This window comes from Homo sapiens, chromosome 12 (assembly GCF_000001405.40).
Source record: "Homo sapiens chromosome 12, GRCh38.p14 Primary Assembly".
Taxonomy (NCBI): domain Eukaryota; kingdom Metazoa; phylum Chordata; class Mammalia; order Primates; family Hominidae; genus Homo; species Homo sapiens.
In genome coordinates this window covers 50,262,287-50,283,372 of record NC_000012.12, presented here as the reverse complement: position 1 = coordinate 50,283,372, position 21,086 = coordinate 50,262,287, and the positions used below count along the sequence as shown (strand labels likewise).

The window sequence follows — 21,086 nt, the reverse complement described above, 5'->3', positions numbered from 1 at the left end:
CTTCTCTCCACACCCTCTTTCTCCTTCGACTTTTGGGGCGGGGGGAGTGCAAGGAGTGTGAGTCCCTCCCCCTCGAGATAAGGGGTCGAGGGACGCTGATCCTCCGTTCTTTCCTCACTTCTGGGGCCTGCGCTGGGTGGGGAGTGCTTATGTCGGGCTGAGCCTTTGCTGCCCAAGGGCGGGAGCTGCAAATACCCCGTCCTCTCCCACCGAGAACACTGCATTCTAACTGTATACTTTCTGGTGTGGTGGAGGAAGGTGACAATTCATTAAAACTCCAAATACCCTCCTTCCAGGGAAATACTGTAATATTCAACTGTTCTTTTTCCTTCATTTTCAGCCATTCCCTCTCTTTTCGATTTTTTCTCCCTTCCATTACGCCAGCTGAACTCTGTTTAAGACACTTACACCCTTTTGAGGAATGTTGAGAATATAGCAGTCCTTGCAGCCGATGTGTCATCCCCGAATCGCTATCGTGTATATATCGCTGGCACTTGCCCCCGACATATGTTGGTGTTAATGTAAGGTAATTGTACACCCCTGGCTACACATACTAAAGCTTGAAGTTGTAGCTGCTAGGAACGAACCATCTGGCACCCTTCCTAGCCTCCTTACTGATGCTTGCAAGAACGGTTTAGCTGATCCTGGTGAGAGATATTTGAACTACTATTGTCTTGCACCTAATTCCAGCTTTCAAAAGTCTGCCTTGGACGGGCGCAGTGGCTCACGCCTATAATCCCAACACTTTGGGAAACTGAGGCGGGAGGATCGCTTGAGCCCAGGTGTTTGAGACCAGCCAAGGCAACTTAGCGAGACCCTTGTCTCTACAAAAAAATAAATAAATAAATAAAAATAAAAGATAAGTCTGCCTAATCCAGATCTGCCTAATCCAGATGGTTCAATTGACTTGACTTTTCAGGTTAGTCAAAGGTAATTAGGGAGTTATCAGTTTTTAAGGCAATGCCCATTTTGGGGAGAGGTTTTCTTTTGCATTAAGTATTCTTTCTTTTGCTCTTGATTTAAATGGTTTAACACAGTACCTTTTATCTGCTTGGTTACCAATACTATTCACAAATGCTAAATATTTCAGGAGCCATGAAATAACACCAATCCTTTCTTCTGAGGTATGATGTAGACACAAAAGAACATGACCCCTAACAACATGTTCTAAGTTCCTGTAGAGGTATAACCTGGGTGCAGGATGATCACGTTTTAGATAGATCTTCAAAAAATTATAGAGTTGGCGTGAAAGAAGGCAAAAAAAAGTGTGTGTTCATATATGTTTTCTTGTTTTGCATTGATAGAACAACATATAATGTACTAGGTAATTAGTTTAGGAACTTATTTCATTCTTTGGACAAAATATTGAGTGCCTTTCATGTCAGTCCTACTGTAGATTCAAAGTGCCAAACGTCTTTACCCTAAAAGAACTTAAAATCAAATGGGTTAGACAGATCCACATACAATTTATGGTATTAGTGAGGTCATTTCTATACTAGAGGTCAGCCCAGGGTACTGTAGGAGCATAGGGAATATAGGTGTTTTGTTTTGTTTTTTAATTCTCTCTTCTGCTTTTCCTTAAAAACAAAAACCTCTGAGTAATAATGAGTGATTCTCTTCAATCTATGTATTTGTATCACTTTCATATTTCTTACCCTCTCTTCCTCCAATTCTATGGCCTATGGAAAATGGGATTAGACCCTGTTGTTAATGTGGCATTTAGTAAATAGTTGGATCTGTTTCCACTGTTCTGTATTGGGCTGGGAAGTGTTGTTATCAGGTAGTCCCTGGGAAGAGAACAGTATATTGGCAACATTAGCAAAGGAGTGCCATTTTGTAAAAATTACCTCATTGTATAACTTTCTTTAACTTGGTACACTCAAGCTTTGTTCCAGACTCTGGTTAAAGGTGGGGCTAAATTTCAACCTAATAATTCTAAAAGAAAGCTTCAGAAGCTAAAACAATTCACATCTTGGTGACAGGGGATACTTTTTCCTGCTAAGATGCCCTCAAAATGTTTTTCTCTTTCTTTTTTTCTTGGGTGGGGAAGACAGGGTAGATAGGTGGGTGGGGAAAAATGTTTTTAAGTATAATTTTGACTAGTGTTTCTTCAGGTTTCAAATTCTTATATTTTCTCTGGTATTTTTCACCAGTTAACTGCAATTAACTTAGAGCCCTCGTACCAAAAAAATTTATCAAAGACACACACACAGACACAAAAGAATATTGAGAGTGTGGGAGTTCATTAGACATCTTTGGCATAATAGGGCACCTAACCACAAATTGGAAGAATTTATTATTTAAATTGACAGTGAAACTAGTTTCAGGCATTCTTAATTCCATACACTATTAGATAGATGACTTTTAGATTAGAATTGTACCCTTTCTGCAGATAGGAAAATGTATAACGAGTCCTAAGTTAGTAATTTCCATTAGAAAAGGCAATTGTTTTTTAAGTTTGCTATTGTCTTTCACTGTATGTTTTTTGATAGAAACTTAAGGTACTTCATTTTAGATTGCATACAGTAATCTCCAGGTGAGGTTACTTAACACAGCCTCTTCAGGTTACTAACAAACCAGTGGTTGTAAATGAAGTAGTTTCTACTTAATGATTATGGAGTTGAGAGTCTATGGTGGATGATAAGGTAGGACCATACTGATGAGTTTATTCTGAAGCTGGGTGCAGAGTCCTCAAGACTCAGTCAAATTATTGTGCTACTGAAGACCTCTTTTCATAAAAAGGATGGAGTTTGACCTAACAAGCAATCCATTATTCAGCATGTCAGATGATTTCTTGACACGTGAAAACTTTCTAGAGACTTCCTGTGTCCACTCATAAGAAGTTAACATGATACCATGAAAATTTTACATTCTTTTGATGTTCTTTTAAATAATTTCTTAATACTACTACCCTGGGCCGGGCGCGGTGGCTCACGCCTGTAATCCCAGCACTTTGGGAGGCCGAGGCGGGAGGATCACGAGGTCAGGAGATCGAGACCATCCTAGCTAACATGGTGAAACCCAGTCTCTACTAAAAATACAAAAACAAAATTAGCCGGGCGTGGTGGCAGGCGCCTGTAGTCCTAGCTACTCGGGAGGCTGAGGCGGGAGAATGGCGTGAACCCGGGAGGCGGAGCTTGCAGTGAGCGGAGATCGCGCCACTGCACTCCAGCCTGCGTGACAGAGTGAGACTCCGTCTCAAAAAAAAAAAAAAAAAAAAAAAAAAAATACTACTACCCTGAAACTAAGAACTTTCATCTTTAGGGGAAAAAAAGATGCAACTTTTTTGTACTTCTGATAACAAGTGTGGATCTATTTTCCCCCTTAATTATTCTGTAACAGAGTTTATGATATGGAAAACTTTACAGTCCTTCAAATATGTTTTGTCTTGCACAAAGTATTGCCATTTTTGTTTCATTACCCATAAATTAGTCCCAATATCCGCTTTACTTAGTTTTAGATTTCCACAATCTTTTTTTTCTCCATAAACTGAAATTCAAGCTAATGCCCCGGGACTTCTTTTATTTCATAGTCAGTTTTACTAAACAGGTAACATTTGCTCAGCTTTGGCGTCTGAGCAAAAATTTGGCTTCCAGCACTACAGGAAAGCTGTCTGTCCATGCATAGTATCCAGTGGTTTCTGTCTAACGGTCCTTACCCCTTGGCAATAACTGACCAAGTGAACAACTTGTCTAGTTCTTCCTTTCATTTGCTTTTCTTGACATGACTACTATCTGGTTCTCCATTTTCTAATCTAACCACTTACTCCCATGATCCATTAACTCAGTCTTTTTGCCCCTTAAATGCCGGGTTCACCATAGCCCTGCTCAGCTTCCTATTCTCACTATACTTTCTCCCTTTATAATCTGATTTCTTTCCATGACTTCCACTATCACCTCCATGTAAGTGGCCTGAAAATTTATCTTTTTAAAAAACTTCTTTCATATTGTATATATAATTGTTTTATTTTCATATATGCCAACACATTTAAAAATAAAAATTATAGATATTTATATTATTATAAAATAAAAATTATATATGTTTATTATAGAAAATGTGGAAAAAACAGGCCGGGTGTGATGGCTCATGCCTGTAATCCCAGCACTTTGGGAGGCTGAGGCGGGTGATCACTTGAGGTCAGGAGTTCGAGACCAGCCTGGCCAACATAGTGAAACCCCATCTCTACTAAAAATACAAAAATTAGCTGGGCATGGTGGCGCATGCCTGTAGTCCCAGCTACTAAGGAGGCTGAAGCAGGAGAATCCCTTGAACCCAGGAGGCAGAGGTTGCAGAGAGCCAAGCTCATGCCACTGCACTCCAGCCTGGGTGACAAAGCAAGACTCCATATCAAAAAAAAAAAAAGAAAAGAAAAGAAAAAAAGAAAATGTGGAAAAAACAAATTATAAAGAAGACAAAATAACCCATATTCCATAATCTGTTCCAGAGAGATCTATCATTTGATATATTTCCTTTCAGTGGTTTTGTTTTCTTTGATATACACACACTCACATAAACACAAAGGTAATTGAACTCATACTGTTGCAGTAGATATAGTTTTGTGTCTGCTTTTTTTGCTTTATATTATTTTTCATAGCATCAAAAATTTTTGAAAACATTTAAATGGATATTTAATCTCCATTGTAATCTATTTAATAATTTATTATATTGAGGTTGCATAATTTATTTGTGTTTTGGTTTTACATTAAATGAAAACAATTGAGAACAAATTTATGCATAAATCTTTGTGCAAATGACTCATTATTTCCTTAGGTTAGATTCCCAGAGGTTGAATTACCAGGTCAAGGAGTGTGAAAATTTAAAAATACTAAACCTGCTCCCAAATTGCTTTTTGTAAAGATTAGACTAATTAACATTCTCAACTGCAGTGATTGTGAGTGCCCATCTTAGTGCGGCCTTGGTAACATTGAATATTATTATTATGATGATTTTTGAGATGGAGTCTCGCTCTGTCGCCCAGGCTGGAGTGCAGTGGCACGATCTCTGCTCACTGCAAGCTCCACGTCCCGGGTTCATGCCATTCTCCTGCCTCAGACTCCTGAGTAGCTGGGACTACAGGTGCCCGCCACCACACCTGGCTATTTTTTTTTTTATTTTTAGTAGAGATGGGGTTTCACCGTGTTAGCCAGGATGGTCTCAATCTCCTGACCTTGTGATCCGCCCACCTCGGCCTCCCAAAGTGCTGGGATTACAGGCATGAGCCACCTCGCCCAGCCCGTCTGGCTAATTTTTGTGTTTTTTAGTAGAGACAGGGTTTCACCCTGTTGATCAGGCTGACCTCAAGCCCCTGACCTCAGGAGATCTGCCCACCTCGGCCTCCCAAAGTGCTGGGATTACAGCATGAGCCACCGCGCCCGGCCCGAATATTATTTTTTAATCTTTACTAATTTGATAGGCAGAAATGAATTAATTTGTATTTCTTTGCTAGTGAGAGAGAACATTTTTCATACATTCATTTCTGTTTCTTCTGTGAATTATGTCTGGGTTAATCCCACTCCCATTTTTATTTGGGCGTTAACATTTTAATTATGTTGGTTTTTTGTTTGGTATTCTTTTATTTGGAGCGTTTTGTGGGGGAAGCACAGGCTTTTATTAGACCAAATAGAGTGAATGGAGTGACAAAGTGGAAAGTATACAGAAGTTGGAATTGTGGTGTTATAAATGCCCATTGTTTTGAGGGGCCAGAGCTTGTGATCAATGAAGCAGTACTGCAGAATGGAAAGGGTGCTATTTGAGAGTCAGGATTCCCAACTTAATGTTGTCATCAACCAATCAGGTGATCTTGGACAAGTCATTGATTCATTGACTCAGAGCCTCATCTGTAAAATGAGAGGGTTGGGCTTTTGATCCCCAAGACTGGACAACCTCTGTGCTGAAAGGATGCCTTTGGAGCTACTACTGTTCACTAGACATTCTGGAATTACTTTCTGTCTCATCTCTAACCTTTCACCTAATTTTAGATATATAGAGCCTGAGGAAAGACTGGATGCAGTAAAGGCAGTGTCCACCGGAGTAGCAAGGGGAGCCTGGGGACAGCTTAATTTGTTTGTGCCCTTTAACTTTCAGGAAAATAGAAGTATAAAAAAAAAATTGAATGGGGTTCTTGCTGTGGGGGTTGGGGGAAGAAAAGAAAAAAAAAGAAGTCAAAAAGATTGGTATTTTTTTAGGCACTCCCATAGACTGACACTTGGAAACTGGTAAGATAAAATCACAGAAGCCCTGCTGACCTGTGCCACAAAACTCGATTATCTACAATGTATGTGAAAAATGTCTCATTTTGTGACTAGAGGGTGTACGTCTCCAAGGCAAGTTATTTAACAACTTCTTCTACTTCATACAGAACCATTCTTAGTGTTTTTCTTTGAGATTGGTATAAACTCTTCTAAGAATATTAATTTTTTGTCCTGTGGTCAAATATTTAACCAGTTTGCCTTTTAATTTTGTATATAGTATATTATTACTTATCTATAGATTTTTTTTTTTTTGAGACAGTGTGTCACTCAGTCACCCAGGCTGGAGTGCAGTGGCACAATCTCGGCTCACTCTAGCCTCCTCCTCCAGGGTTCAAGTGATTCTCATGCCTCAGCCTCCCAAGTAGCTGGGATTACAGGCACATGCCACCACGCCTAGCTAATTTTTGTATTTTTAGTAGAGACAGGGTTTCTCCATATTGGCCAGGCTGGTCTTGAACTCCTGACCCAGGTAATCTGCCCGCCTCGGCCTTCCAAAGTGTTACAATTACAGGCGTGAGCCACCACACCCAGCCTGGATTTTTAAATTTGAGATTTCTTCTGGTGCTGTGATGTTTAGAAGGCCTTCACCATCCAGAGATTGGTTAAATACTCACTTTCATTTCCTTCTGATTTTTACCGTTTTACACTTTATATTTAATTCTTTAATTTGTATTGAACTTACTTTGAAGTACCAAACCAATATGTTTAATGCCTTTGTATATCTGAGTTCCAGATCTGTATTTCCAGCTACCTGTTAGGCTATGTGGATAGTCCCTGTACGCCATGCATCTGCGTACACCCAGATTCACTAAGGAGAAAGCTTGAGGTTGTACTTACCACTTTAATACTTTTCTCCACCCACATTTGATCAATCCCCAAGTTTGGCTGATTCTGCCCCAGGGGTGATAAGAGTTCTTTAATCAGTCTTCTAATTCAGATTCCCCTTTTAGTTTTTTGCCAGAGTCCTTGAGTCCTTGAGTAATCCTTAGAGTTGGCTTCAGTTTTTCCCTTGCAGAAAAGTTATCAGAGTTGTCATAAAAAAAAAAAGCACTGATTTTCAAAATATGGTTCCTTTAATTGCCTGTGTTAGAATTACCTGGCAGTGGTTAAAAAGGTAGAGTCTCAGGTCCCACCTAGACCTGCAGATCAGTGTGTCTGAGGGATGGGCCTGGGAACCTGAAGTTTATCAAGTACCTCAAGAGATTTATATACAAACTTAAGGGGAGACAATGCCTAAGTAAATTCAGTCTAGCTTTCTGACATGCTCTTCAAGACACCCACACCCCCACTCTGACAGCCTATTCTTTTAGGCTTATCTCCCACAACACGACCCACCCACCTGGCACTGTGACCCTACAATAATTCTCTGTTTCCTGGACCTGCCCAGTTCTTTCCTGCCTCTGTGCCTTTGCTCATGCAGTTACCACAGCCTCATGCTCCTCCCCTTCCCCACCCTCTTGTTGAAATCCTTTTCCTTAAGAGCCCAAATCAAATGCTACCTTTTTAAATTTTTTTAATAAAAAAAAGCCTTTTCTAATTTCTTCTACTTGAATCAGTGGCTGCCTCCCCAGTCTTTATACTTAACACTTGATTTTTGCTTCATTTCTTACCTTACTTAATGTTGTCACTATTTATAAATTATTGCTTCCTTGTAAGATTACAAGCCTTTTAGGTATGAGAACCTTTCCCTTCCTTTTCATTTTGTGGCCATTATGCACATATAAACAATTAAGAACTCATTTTATTTTATTATTTTGAGACACAGTTTCATTCTGTCCCAGGTTGGAGTGCAATGGCGCAATCTCAGCTCACTGCAACCCCCACCTCCTGGGTTCAGGTGATTCTCATGCCTCAGACCTCCGGAGTAGCTGGGACTACAGGCACGCGCCACCACGCCTGGCTAATTTTGTTTTTTTTTTGTATTATTAGTAGAGACAGGGTTTCACCATGTTGGCCAGGCTGGTCTAGAACTCCTGGCCTCAAGTGATCTGCCCACCTCAGCTTCCCAAAGTGCTGGGATTATAGGCATGAGCCACCGCACCTGGCCAAAGTACTCATTTAGTACATGAAATATATCTGATCTTGCAAACACACTTTTATATAATAATGTTTGGCTTTGTATCACACATAGAATAAAATTAAAATCCTTTAGCATTGTTATTAATCCGTATTTAATCTGACTACTACTCATCTCTGTGTCATCGCATGCTTCTCACTTACTTCCTAGCTGTATTATTCCTTCCTCAGGGCCTTTGCATTTGCTTTCCTCTACCTGGAAAACTCCCCCATCTATTGTCTTCACCTTGCTGGCTGCATATGTTCTCCCCATCATTCAGGTTTCAGTTCAAATGTCATTCACTCAATGAGGCCTTCCCTGATCACTGCCTAAAGAAGCTGTTCGTGTCCCTGTTCCTACCACAACTCCAGTTACTCTTTTTGTATTTCCTTCACACCACTAATCACAGTCTTTAATTGTCCGGCTTCTCCAGTGGAATGGAAATTTCATGAGAGTAGAGACCATGTCTGTCTTTTTTTTTTTTGAGATGGAGCCTCACTCTGTCACCCAGGGTGGAGTGGAATGGCACGATCTTGACTCACTGCAACCTCCAACTCCCAGGTTCAAGAGTCTCCTGCTTCAGCCTCCCAAGTAGCTGGGACTCCAGGCACCTGCCACCACACCCAGCTAAATTTTTTATTTTTGGTAGCGACAGGATTTCACCATGTTGGCCAGGATGGTCTGCATCTCTCGACCTCATTATCCGCCTGCCTTGGCCTCTCAAAGTGCTGGGATTACAGGCGTGAGCCATCGCGCTCGGCCTTGTCTGTCATTTTTAACATTATATCTTCAGCACTTGGAATACTGCCAAAGACTTGGTAAATGCTAAATAAATATTTGTTGAATGAATGAATAAGCCTTGAAGATGGACTTTTCATTTGGACAAGTCTTGTTTTGTTTTGCAATCCAAAGTGTTGTATTTTTTTTAACTGGACAACAGCTGAGGTCGGTCCATCTGGGTTCAAATCAGGTAGCAGTCTCTGAGGAGTTCGGAAGGTAGCAGGACAAAAGTTTGGATACTGTGACAACCAGGATTAAGTTCCATCTGAGTGCAAGTTTTCTAAGGTGTTTCCAGGATCCAGGCCACTATTTTCCTACCACTATAGCCATCTACTTCCCAGATTGTTACTCTGGATTATACTAGTCTATCAACTCCTATTACATTTTCAAAAGCCAGTGTGGCAAAACTAAAACCCAATTACTGGAATCCACAAACAACCAGAAGTTTTCTTCTGTTTTCATTCTCTAGGAGAAAAATTAGAAAGCTATCTAGAATCTTCAAGAAAAAATGAAATGATTTTCATTATACTTACTATTAACACATGCTCTGAAATGTGTTACTGTTTAGACACACTGTTTAGACAGTGTACTGATTAGAAAGATTTTCAGCAACAGCTTTAAACAAAAGGTTTCTTATTAACATCTAGTTGAACCAGACATTATAATGAATTAGTTCTAATTTCTATTTCTTTTCATTGGTTAGTCTTTTTTAATTCCATTTTTTTTCTTAATGCTGGCTTGAAGTTTTATTTAAAATAATGCTTTGTAGAGTAGCTGACAGTTTTCAAAGTACTTTTGCTTTTATCCTTTCATTTAGTCCTCATAAGCATCCTGTGTGAATCAATACCTGTTTTTGAGATGAAGAAATTGAGGCCCAAAGACAGTGATGATCTTTCCCCTGCCAACTGAAAGACCACTACCCAGCAAATGCCTCTCAATAACTATTTTCTACAGTCCCGAATTAAATGTAGCTTTTAGAAGCTAATCATTAAAATTCAATTGAAACAGTAACATTAATATGTTTATAACCAGGCCAGGTGTGGTGGCTCACGCCTGTAATCCCAGCACTTTAGGAGGCCAAGGCTGGCGGATCACTTGAGGTCAGGAGTTCGAGACCAGCCTGGCTAACATGGCAAAACTCCGTCTCTACTAAAATTACAAAAATTAGCCTGGGAGAGAGAGTAAGGCTCCCTCTTAAAAAAAAATGTTTATAACCAATTCTTTTTTTTTTTTTTTGAGACAGAGTCTTGCTCTGTTGTCCAGGCTAGAGTGCAGTGGTGTGATCTCTGCTCACTGCAAGCTCCACCTCCTGGGTTCACGCCATTCTCCTGCCTTAGCCTCCCGAGTAGCTGGGACTACAGGCGCCCGCCACAACGCCCGGCTAATTTTTTGTATTTTTTTTAGTAGAGAAGGGGTTTCACCATGTTAGCCAGGATGGTCTCGATCTCCTGACCTCGTGATCTGCCTGCCTCGGCCTCCCAAAGTGCTGGGATTACAGGGGTGAACCACCACGCCCGGCCCTATAACCAATTCTTAATAAGATACCTAGCACTGGTCCAGATAAGTAGCCAAATTTTATCACTTGTGTGGCGGTGTGATTTGGTACATCTTTATGTGATCAGCCTCAGTGATGCTTGTCCTTTATTAAGGCATTGTTACGTGGTAGCTGCTCAGATTTTTTTTTTTTTTTTTTGAGACGGAGTTTCGCTCTTGTTGCCCAGGCTGGAATGCAATGGCACGAGCTCGGCTCACTGCAACCTCCACCTCCCGGGTTCAAGCAATTCTCCTGCCTCAGCCTCCCGAGTAGCTGGAATTACAGGCATGCACCACCATGCCTGGCTAATTTTTTTGTATTTTTGGTACAGACGGCGTTTCTCCATGTTGGTCAGGCTGATCTCGAACTCCCGACCTCAGGTGATCCGCCCGCCTCGGTCTCCCAAAGTGCTGGGATTATAGGAATGAGCCACCGTGCCCGGCCAGCTTCTCTTTTAAAGAAAGGAAGGATTAAAGAACTTGCCTAGAGAAGAGTCACTTTTTAGTAAATCCATTTTAATTCTCCTGCTTGAAGGTATTGGTTAAACTGATCTGAACTGACTCTTCAGATTGAGCAAGTCCTGAAAAACAGCACATCATCTAAAATTTCAGATAAGAATGGAAGCCAGGCCCTTCCTGGAAATGTCCAGAAGTGAAACTAAGAAGCCCTGTATTTGGAGAAAACTTGATTAGTTATTAAGGACAAAGGGCTGCTTTAAGAAGGTTATATCTTTAACAGAAGGAGCCTTCCTAAAATAAGCGTATGTGTTTCTTTTGCTTTGAGATTGTAAAGAAGGCTCCTTAATGAACTATTTTGCCTTAATTAAGCATGTAATTGGCAAGACTTATGAGCATGTAGTTTCTCGGCAGATTTTCAGTTATGTAGGTGGGCCTTTGCTGAGATGTGTGGCAATTCAGTACTAGTGTAACACTGTTTTTCATTCATATAACAGATATTTATTGAGCCCCTACATGTTCCAGGCACTGGTATTCAGTACATCTGATGTTAAAGTATGGAAAGGTACAAAGGTTAAAGGAGAAATATGCTGTTCAGAGGAAGTCTGTGCTTTGTCGTGATGGTCTTGGTCAATTGTAAATTTCCACATTCTTTTTCTAATTAGCTATGTTTTTCTCTACTCTTTACCTTAAATTTGAAGCTAGTGACTTAATGATCTGTTTTTCTACTTACTGAAAGAGATTTTTCTTACTATGTGTGAAAAAAAACTACTGGAAAAATAAGAAAACCTCACTTCGTTGGATTATGTTTGCCCTTAGAATAAGTTAATGATCAGCTGGGACGGGGAGGGAAAGAACCAAATGAGCAAATAACAAATTTTATTAATTGGGAGAGAGGTGGAGTTAGACTTGAATTTGATCTGGTAATTTTTTAATTTAAAGGGAAAAAAAAAAGATTAGGAAAGTTCTTGGGTGGTTCTTCATGACCTACAAATTTTAGACCAAAGTCAGTTGTTTTTGTTTTTCAAGATAGAGTCTTGCCCTGTCGCCGAGGCTGGAGTGCAGTGGCATAGTCACGGCTCACTGCAGCCTCAAACTCCTGGGCTCAAGTGATCCTCCCACCTTAGCCTCCCAAAGTGCTGGGATTACAGGCGTAAGCCACAGCACCTGGCCCAAAGTCAGTTTTTTGTTTGTTTGTTTGTTTTGAGACGGAGTCTCGCTCTGTCGCCCAGGCTGGAGTGCAGTGGCACGATCTCGGCTCACTGCAAGCTCCGCCTCCTGGGTTCATGCCATTCTCCTGCCTCAGCCTCCCGAGTAATTGGGACCATAGGCACCCGCCACCACGCCCGGCTAATTTTTTGTGTTTTTAGTAGAGACGGGGTTTCACTGTGTTAGCCAGGATGGTCTTGATCTCCTGACCTCGTCATCCGCCCACCTCGGCCTCCCAAAGTGCTGGGATTACAGGTGCCCAAAGTCAGTTTTCAAAGGCTGTAACTGGGGTTACTCTTTTTTACCTGTCTAAATAAGATATGTGAAGATTACCACAATTATGTAAAAAACTAATTTGGGGTTCATAAGCACAAGAAGATAAGATATTCACACAAATGAATAAGGTAATAGAAGCCCTGTGGGAAGGTTATAGTTATGTTCTCTTCAACATAGAGTTCTTTTTTTTTTTTTTTTTTTTTTTTTGAGATAAGGTCTCACTCTGTTGCCCAGGCTGGAGTGCAGTGGCGTGATCTGGATTCACTGCAACCTCCACCTCCAAGGCTGAAGCAATCCTCCCACCTCAGCCTTCTGAGTAGCTGGGATTACAGGCTCAAGCCACCACACCTGGCTAACTTATTTGTTTGTACTTTTTGTAGAGATGGGGTTTTGCCATTTTTCCCAGGCTGGTCTTGAACTCCTGAACTCAAGCAATCTATCCTCCTTGGTCTCCCAGAGTGCTGGGATTACAGGCGTGAGCCACTGTGCCTGGCCCAACTTAGAGTTCTTACAGAGGTGTTGATGCGTTGATAACACCTAAAATTTTATCCCTTTTTTTTTTTTTTTTTTTTTTTTTTGACAGAGTTTCACTCTTGTTGCCCAGGCTAGAGTACAATGGCGCGATCTCGGCTCATCGCAACTTCTGCCACCCGGGTTCAAGAGATTCTCCTGCCTCAGCCTTCCCGAGTAGCTGGAATTACAGGCACGTGCTACCACACCTGGCTAATTTTGTATTTTTAGTAGAGACGGGGTTTCTCCACGTTGGTCAGGCTGGTCTTGAACTCCCGACCTCAGGTGATCCGCCCACCTCGGCCTCCCAGAGTGCTGAGATTACAGTCATAAGCCACCGTGCCTAGCCTTTTTAAATTTTTTTTTTTTTTTTTTTTTTATTTGACGGAGTTTTGCTCTTGTTGCCCAGGTTGGAGTGCAATGGTGTGATCTCAGTTCACTGCAACCCCCGCCTCCCAGGTTCAAGCGATTCTCTTGCCTTAGCCTCCCAAGTAGTTGGGATTACAGACATGTGCCACCACACCCGGCTAATTTTTTGTATTTTTAGTAGAGACGGGGTTTCTCCATGTTGGTCAGCTGGTCTCAAACTTGTGACCTCAGGTGATCCTCCCGCCTCGGCCTCCCAAAGTGCTGAGATTACAGGCATGAGCCACTGCGCCCGCTCCTAAAATTTTATCCTTAAGAGAGATAACTTTTACCGATTTAGACTTTATGGTGCAGAGAAATGGTGTCAGGTCTTTGATCAGATCTGGTGTTCCTGGTAGTAACCATCAGTTTCTCAGATATTATTACATTAGAGATATTCTCTTTTTATTGGTGATTTAACAGAAATAAGCTGACCCTGAAATATCATGTACGCTAGAACTGCTTTTCTGGTTTATTTTCCGTGCTGCAGATCATTTTGTTTCCAGGCCAACCTCCTAAAAAATGAAAAGAGCTAACATTTATTTAACTTCTTTGGGCCTCAGTTTCTTCATCTGAATATTATTCAATAATACACTTACATAAAGTGAGTCGGTAATAATTCTGAGTGTGTTACTGTGAAGATTAAATAAGTTATATATGCAAAACAATTAAGACAGTATCTGACACATGGTAAATGGTCAATAAATGTTAGGTATTTTTATTACCACCACTGCTATCATTATTAAGTACTTATTTTAGCAATGTGCTAAGAGAACATTTTAGTGATGATGAAACTAAGGCTTAGAGTAATTTTCCTCATGTTACCCAGTAAGTGTGTGGTAGACTCAATATGTAGACTTGAGCCAAAAGGAGCCTTGGGTAGAGTTGGCTTAGATGTGGAATAGGCTGGGGCATCTGGCCCAGCCTTTAATATTCCTAGTTTCAAGACTCTTAAAGGATAAGACCGGTCCAGACAGCCCCTAAATACCGGGAAGATGTGGTTTGTAATATGTCATTAGAACATGGACATTATGGTCTGTGGGATTGTTTCAAATCCTAGCTCTATCAGTTATTAGCTCTGTGACCTTGAGCAAGTTATTGAACATTTCTAGAGCCTTAGTTTCTTCCTCTGTAAAATGAGAATAATAAATATTTGCTGACCCAGTGTGGTGGCTCATGCCTATAATCCCAGCACTTTGGGAGGCCAAGGTGGGAGGATCGCTTGAGCCCAGGAGTTCAAGACGAGCCTGGGCAACATAGCAAGACCCTGTCTCTTACAATAATAATAATAATAATAATAATTGCTTCATGGCAGTGTAAGAATTAAGTGAATAAGATCAAATGGAATGAGATAACATGTAAAGCACCTGGCATATGGCCAGTACTCAATAACCAATCCTCAGGCTTATGCTTAAGGGGTTCAAACTTGTACCTGATTCTGACATTATCTGTCTAGATGGTGAGCGTTTAGGGTCTGGGTCTGCAAAAATTAACATGTTTGGACTCCATATGAGAGGTTCAGATTCCATAGGTGATCCTGATACTCAGAGTACCACCCTTATCTGAAAGCACTAGACTGGGTGGTGGAGGGTAGCAGCAGTGATCCTCTCTCAATGCCTGGGCTGTCAGTGTCCGTCAGGCTTCTTACAGGGTTGTGCTCTGCTTAGAATATTAATGAGCAGTCAGGGGTGGGTGTCCTGCAAAAGGGAACCCCGCAGAAACGAGGCACTCATCTGTATAGTCAAGCGGCATTTTTGTTTGGAAAGAATATTAATGAGATCTGGATAAGAATCAGACACCAGGAAAGGACAGCTGCTGTGAGAGGCAAATCCAATTGTACAAGGAGTTACACATGATATTCAGAAAGTCCTTGTATAATTTAAAAAAAAGTAAGTTGTAGAGATAATAAACAATTTATAAATGTCGTTAAAAAAATAAATGTGGCCGGGCACGGTGGCTTACACCTGTAACCCCAGCAGTTAGGGAGGCAGAAGTGAGAGATAGGTTGAGGCTAGGAGTTTGAGGCCAGCCTGGGCAACATAGTGAGACCTCATTCTTCACCAAAAGAAAAAATAGGCAGGCTGGGTGTGGTGGCTCATGCCTGTAATCCCAGCACTTTGGGAGGCCGAGGCAGGTGGATCACAAGGTCAAGAGATCAAAACCATCCTGGCCAACATGGTGAAACCCCGCCTCTACTAAAAATACAAAAATTCACTGGGTGTGGTGGCATGCACCTGTAGTCCCAACTACTCAGGAGGCTGAGGCAGGAGAATTGCTTGAACCCAGGAAGTGGAGGTTGTAGTGAGCCAAAATTGCACCACTGCACTCCAGCCTGGCGACAGAGCGAGACTCTGTCTCAAAAAAAAAAAGTAAATGTGGCCAGGGGGCACGGTGATTCACACCTGTAATCCCAGCACTTTGGGAGGCCAAGGAGGGTGGATCATCTGAGGTCAGAAGTTCGAGACCAGCCTGGCCAACATGGTGAAACCCTATCTCTAAAAAAAAATACAAAAATTAGCTGGGCGTGACCGGGTGCGGTGGCTCACGTCTGTAATCCCAGCACTTTGGGAGGCCAAGGCAGGTGGATCACGAGGTCAGCAGATCGAGACCATCCTGGCTAACACGGTGAAACCCCATCTCTACTAAAAATACATATAAAATTAGCCGGACATTGTGGGGGATGCCTGTAGTCCCAGCTACTTGGGAGGCTGAGGCAGAAGAATGGCGTGAACCCGGGAGATGGAGCTTGCAGTGAGCCGAGATTGCGCAACTGCACTCCAGCCTGGGCGACAGAGCTAGACTCCGTCTCAAAAAATAATAATAAAAATAAAAAAATTAGCTGGGCATGGTGGCACGCCCCGGTAATCCCAGCTACTCAGGAGGCTAAGGCAGGAGAATCACTGGAACCCAGGAGGCAGAGGCTGCAGTGAGCCAAGATCAGGCCACTGCACTCCAGCCTGGGTGACAGAGTGAGACTCTGTCTCAGAATAAAAAAAAAGTAAATGTATTGAGTGGCCAACACATATTTGAAAATATGCTCAACCTCACTCATGATTAAAGGAGTGAAAACTAAAACAATAATGTACCATTTTCACACATCTATCAGATTGGAAAAAATAAAAATAATGCTTATTACTGACAAGAATGTGGAGAAAGATTCAAATATAAATGGATGTGACTTTTTTGAGGGAAATCTCAGAATATCTATTTAAAAATTTAATGCATAGGCCTTTTAAACTAGAAATGCTCCTTCTAGGAATTTATGCCGTAGATGCACCCCGCCCCAGGTAGGCAATAGTACAAGCATGTTTGTTCCATTCTTATTCATAACAGTGAAGAAGCAAAAGCAACCTACATGATCATCCACAGGGGCCTTGTTAAATAGGTTTTAAACTATTACAGAATGAAATATTATGAGGTACTGAAAGATTGAGATAGATCTGTATGCCCTGAGGTGGGAAGATGTTCAAGAGGAAATAAATAATTGCTGAACAGCACATTAACATGAAACCATTGTATTTCTAAAACATGTTTGTATTTATGCATGTTGTGTGTCAATTTCTCTGTGCCTCAGTTTTCTCATCTGTAAAATAGGCATCCTGATGGTACCTACCTCATGACTTGTTGCAAGGGTAAACTGAGATAACATATGTAGAGTGCTTAGTACAGTGACTGACACATAGTGCTTTGTGGTGGCAATTATTATTGTATAGGTAATAACAGAAAGTTTATGCTCCAGACTTTGACAGAGGTTACCTTTGAGAAGTAGAATTGGTTTGGGGGGAGGGCAGACAAGAGCTGGCAGGGACTTCTACTTCTTACATTGTGTATTTCCATAGCATTGTTTATATGGAGCAGGCCCATCCCTGGCCAGTCACTGACCGAGGAGCCTAGACAGTGAAGGAAGTGGCAGCTCTGTAGGCTCAACAAGTAGGCTTGTTGAGACCTGCAGAAGAAGGTTCCCCATGGGAAGGAGGAGGATAAGGAAGGGTGGTGCTGTGTGGAGATGGGAAGGATGTTTGTGGATTCCACCATGGCTACTGAAGTTTTTTTTTTGAAAACCACCTGACCTAATTAAAGATTTAAAAAATTTACATTGCACAAGAACCTTACAAAGCCCAGCTTGTATTTGGACTTATCCTTTTTATAATTCACTAAGTTATATTTATACTAAAAAAGTGATTTGTGTTTAATTTGACTTTTGAATAAAAACTACAGAAAATAATTGGTCAAAGTGCTCAAAACAAACATTTTAAAAAATGGGTAGTTTTTCTAATAATTATGAAATAAAAATATTGATATTTTAAAGAAACAATTTCTCTTCAACTAATGTTACTACTTCCATTATATAGTGATGAGCAATTTTTTTTTTTTTTGAGATGGAATTTTGTTCTTGTTGCCCAGGCTGGTGTGCAATGGTGTGATCTTGGCTCACCGCAACCTCCACCTTCCTGGTTCAAGCAATTCTCCTGCCTCAGCCTCCCAAGTAGCTGGGATTACAGGCATGCGCCACCACGCCCGGCTAATTTTGTATTTTTAGTAGAGATGGGGTTTCTCCATGTTGGTCAGACTGGTCTCGAACTCCTGACCTCAGGTGATCTGCCCACCTTGGCCTCCCAAAGTGCTGGGATTACAGGCATGAGCCACCACCCTGGCCAGCCATGTTTTAAATAATGACAGCAACTTTCAAGCTAAAAAGTCAAACAGCTGAAGCAAATGTAACATTTTTGATTTTTTTTTTTTTTTGAGACGGTCTCACTCTGTTGCCCAGGCTGGAATGCAGTGGCACCATCACAGCTCACTGCAGCCTCAATCTCCTAGGCTCAGGCAATCTTCCCACTTCAGCCTGTCAAGTAGCTGGAACCACAGGCACCCACCACCACACCCGGCTAATTATTAAAATTTTTTGTAGAGATGGAGTCTCACCATCATGCCCAGGCTGATCTTGAACTCTGGACTCAAGTGATCCTCCCACCTCAGCCTCCCGAAGTGTTAGGATTACAGGTGTGAGCCACTGTGCCTGGCCATGAATTATTTTTAATCACAGCCTTATTGATCTAAACCTTGTTAAGTCAATATGACACATAAAGTAAGCTAAACCCAAATAGGAGTTCTAGTATCTGAACCTTTAGAATAATGTTTATTGAATGTGGCTTAGACTCTGAAGCATGCGAAGACTGACAAGATCTGCCTCTGACCTCAAGCAATGTGCTGGGCACTGTTTTACATTTATTGTCTCCTTTAGTTTAAAACAACCCCGTAAGGCAGATTTATCATCTTCCTTTTACATAGAAGGAAAGTAAAGTACAGAGAGGTTGCCATGCATCTGGTAAACACTAGAATGGGAATTGGAACCAGCTGCTATTTCCATTCTACTGTCCTGCCTCCAGAGGGTCATGGGGTAAGGGTGGGCAAGGTGAGCCCTGGGGGGGCCACATGAGAATTCTCAGGGACCTCAGTGATCATCTGTCATCGAGTCTAATGATTTTCAAGCCATTGTTTAAAAATTATAAAGTTTTATTGAAAAATTATATACCATACAATTCACCTATTTAAAATGCTCAGTTCAGCGGTTTTAATATGGTCACACAGTTGTGCAGCCATCACCATAATCAATTTTACAACATTTTATCACCTTCCAGAGAAAATTCATACCCATCAGCAGTCAGTTCCTTGTCTTCCTACTGCCAGTCCCAGGCAACCACTAATTCTTTTTCTGTCTCTATAGATTTTCCTGTTCTGGACCTTTCATATAAATGTAATCATACAGTAAATGGTCTTTTGTGGCTGGCTCCTGTCACTTAGCTTAATATTTTCAGGGTTCATCCATGTTGTAGCATGTGTCAGCACTACATTACTCTTTATAGCCGAATAATATTCCCTTGTATGGGCATACCACATTTTGTTCATCCTTTCATCAGTTGACGAACATTTGTGTACAAGTTCTGTGTGGACATGTGTTTTCATTTCTCTTGAGTATATATATATATATACATACTTTATATATATATATATACTTTATATATATATATATATATACTCTCTATATATATATATATATACTCTCTCTATATATATATAGACACACACACACACACACACACACACACAGAGGAATGGAATTGCTGGATCCCATGGTAACTCTGTGTTTAATCTTTTGAGGAACCACCAGACTGTTTTCCAAAGTGGCTGCACCATTTTACATTCCCACCAGCAGTGTATAACGGTTCCAGTTTCTCCACGTCCTCGCTAACACTTGTCAAACTATATTTTAACTATACCCCACAATAAGAAATATTTTACATTCCTACTCAGTTTATACACATACAAATAACTGAAACAAAAACTTTAGAAAAAACCTACCTATACTATGTCTGATGCACTTTGACATTTTCGATTGCATTCTGTTCTTTTTCATCAAAACAAACATGTTGCTTCTGATCGCTCAAGTTGCTTTTACAACTCACTAATTGTGACCTGCAGCTAGAAAAACACTAGGCTATTTTAACCCCTTCATTTTGCACAAGAAGAAAGAGGACCCAGAGAAGTGGCTTGTTCATGGCCATACCACTAATTAGTGGCAGATTCAAAATGAGAGCACAAGCCTGTTGGCTCCCTGCTTTAACTTTGACCTCTCAGTAAATTATAGTTGCCCTTTTATTCGGTAGATAAAAATAAAATAGTTTCTATTTTTTAAGCTTCTTATCTTTCTCAAGCAGCATTTTAAATTCAGCAACAGACCTGGCTAGAGGAAAAAAAAGAATGAGAATAACTCAATTTTATTATCACGAGTCATTGTTTTAACACAATGATTTTGTGCCGTCTGGACAGAAAAGTACTAGGTGAACCTAGATGATGGGCATCAAATTAGGCAGATTGAATTAATCAGTGCAGTGTCTCAGATTCATTTTTGTCCAAACCTCAGTGTACTTTTAAAGAGCAGCCATTTTCCTTACACTGTCAAATTTGAATGGCAACATGAAATTGAAGTGGGCAATATAAGAAATATTTTATGTTGCTGTCTTTCCATTTTTCTTAGAATACATGTAGGTCTTAAACCCTTTACTTACTTATTTTTGAGTCAGAGTCTTGCTCTGTTGCCCAGGCTGGAGTGCAATGGTGTGATCATGGCCCACTGCAGCCTTGACCTCCTGGGCTCAAGTGATCCTCCTGTTTCAGCCAAGTAGCAAGGATCACAGGCATGCACCACCATGCCCAGTTAATTTTTATTTTATTTTATTTTATTTTATTTTATTTTATTTTATTTTATTTTACTTTATTTTTTGGCAGAGAACAGGTCTCGCCATATTGCCTAGGCTGGTCTGGAACTTCTGACCTTAAGCGGTCCTGTCTCCTCAGCCTCCCAAAGTGCTAAGATTACAGGCATGAGCCACTGTGCCCAGCCTTAAACCCTTTAATTCAGTGTTTTCCAGCATTTGATGAGGGAACCTCTGACACTAGAGTTGCTTCAACGTTCTTCTTATTAAAATGTGGGTTTTTTGAGCCCTTCTCCAGACCTAATGAATCAGAATCATGGGATGGGACCTGAAAAATCAGTATTGTATACAAGTTTCCTAAGTGATTCTATGTACACTCAAATTTGTGACCAA

At 40.9% G+C, this 21,086-nt stretch overlaps 1 protein-coding gene across 8 annotated transcripts in view, besides 1 other annotated feature; it reads left to right on the top strand.

The window, feature by feature from the left end:
• LIMA1 (LIM domain and actin binding 1) overlaps positions 1-21,086 on the top strand; it is a 107,733-nt gene that overhangs the window by 148 nt on the left and 86,499 nt on the right. The gene's annotated exons all lie outside the window — the stretch shown is intronic.
• Positions 10,063-10,242: a silencer, noted in NCBI's record as "fragment chr12:50666914-50667093 (GRCh37/hg19 assembly coordinates)". NCBI's record gives its function as "represses an EF-1alpha promoter that drives an FKBP-Casp9 reporter gene in an ReSE screen in HepG2 liver carcinoma cells {active_cell/tissue: HepG2}" and the evidence as "EXISTENCE:reporter gene assay evidence [ECO:0000049][PMID:32094911]".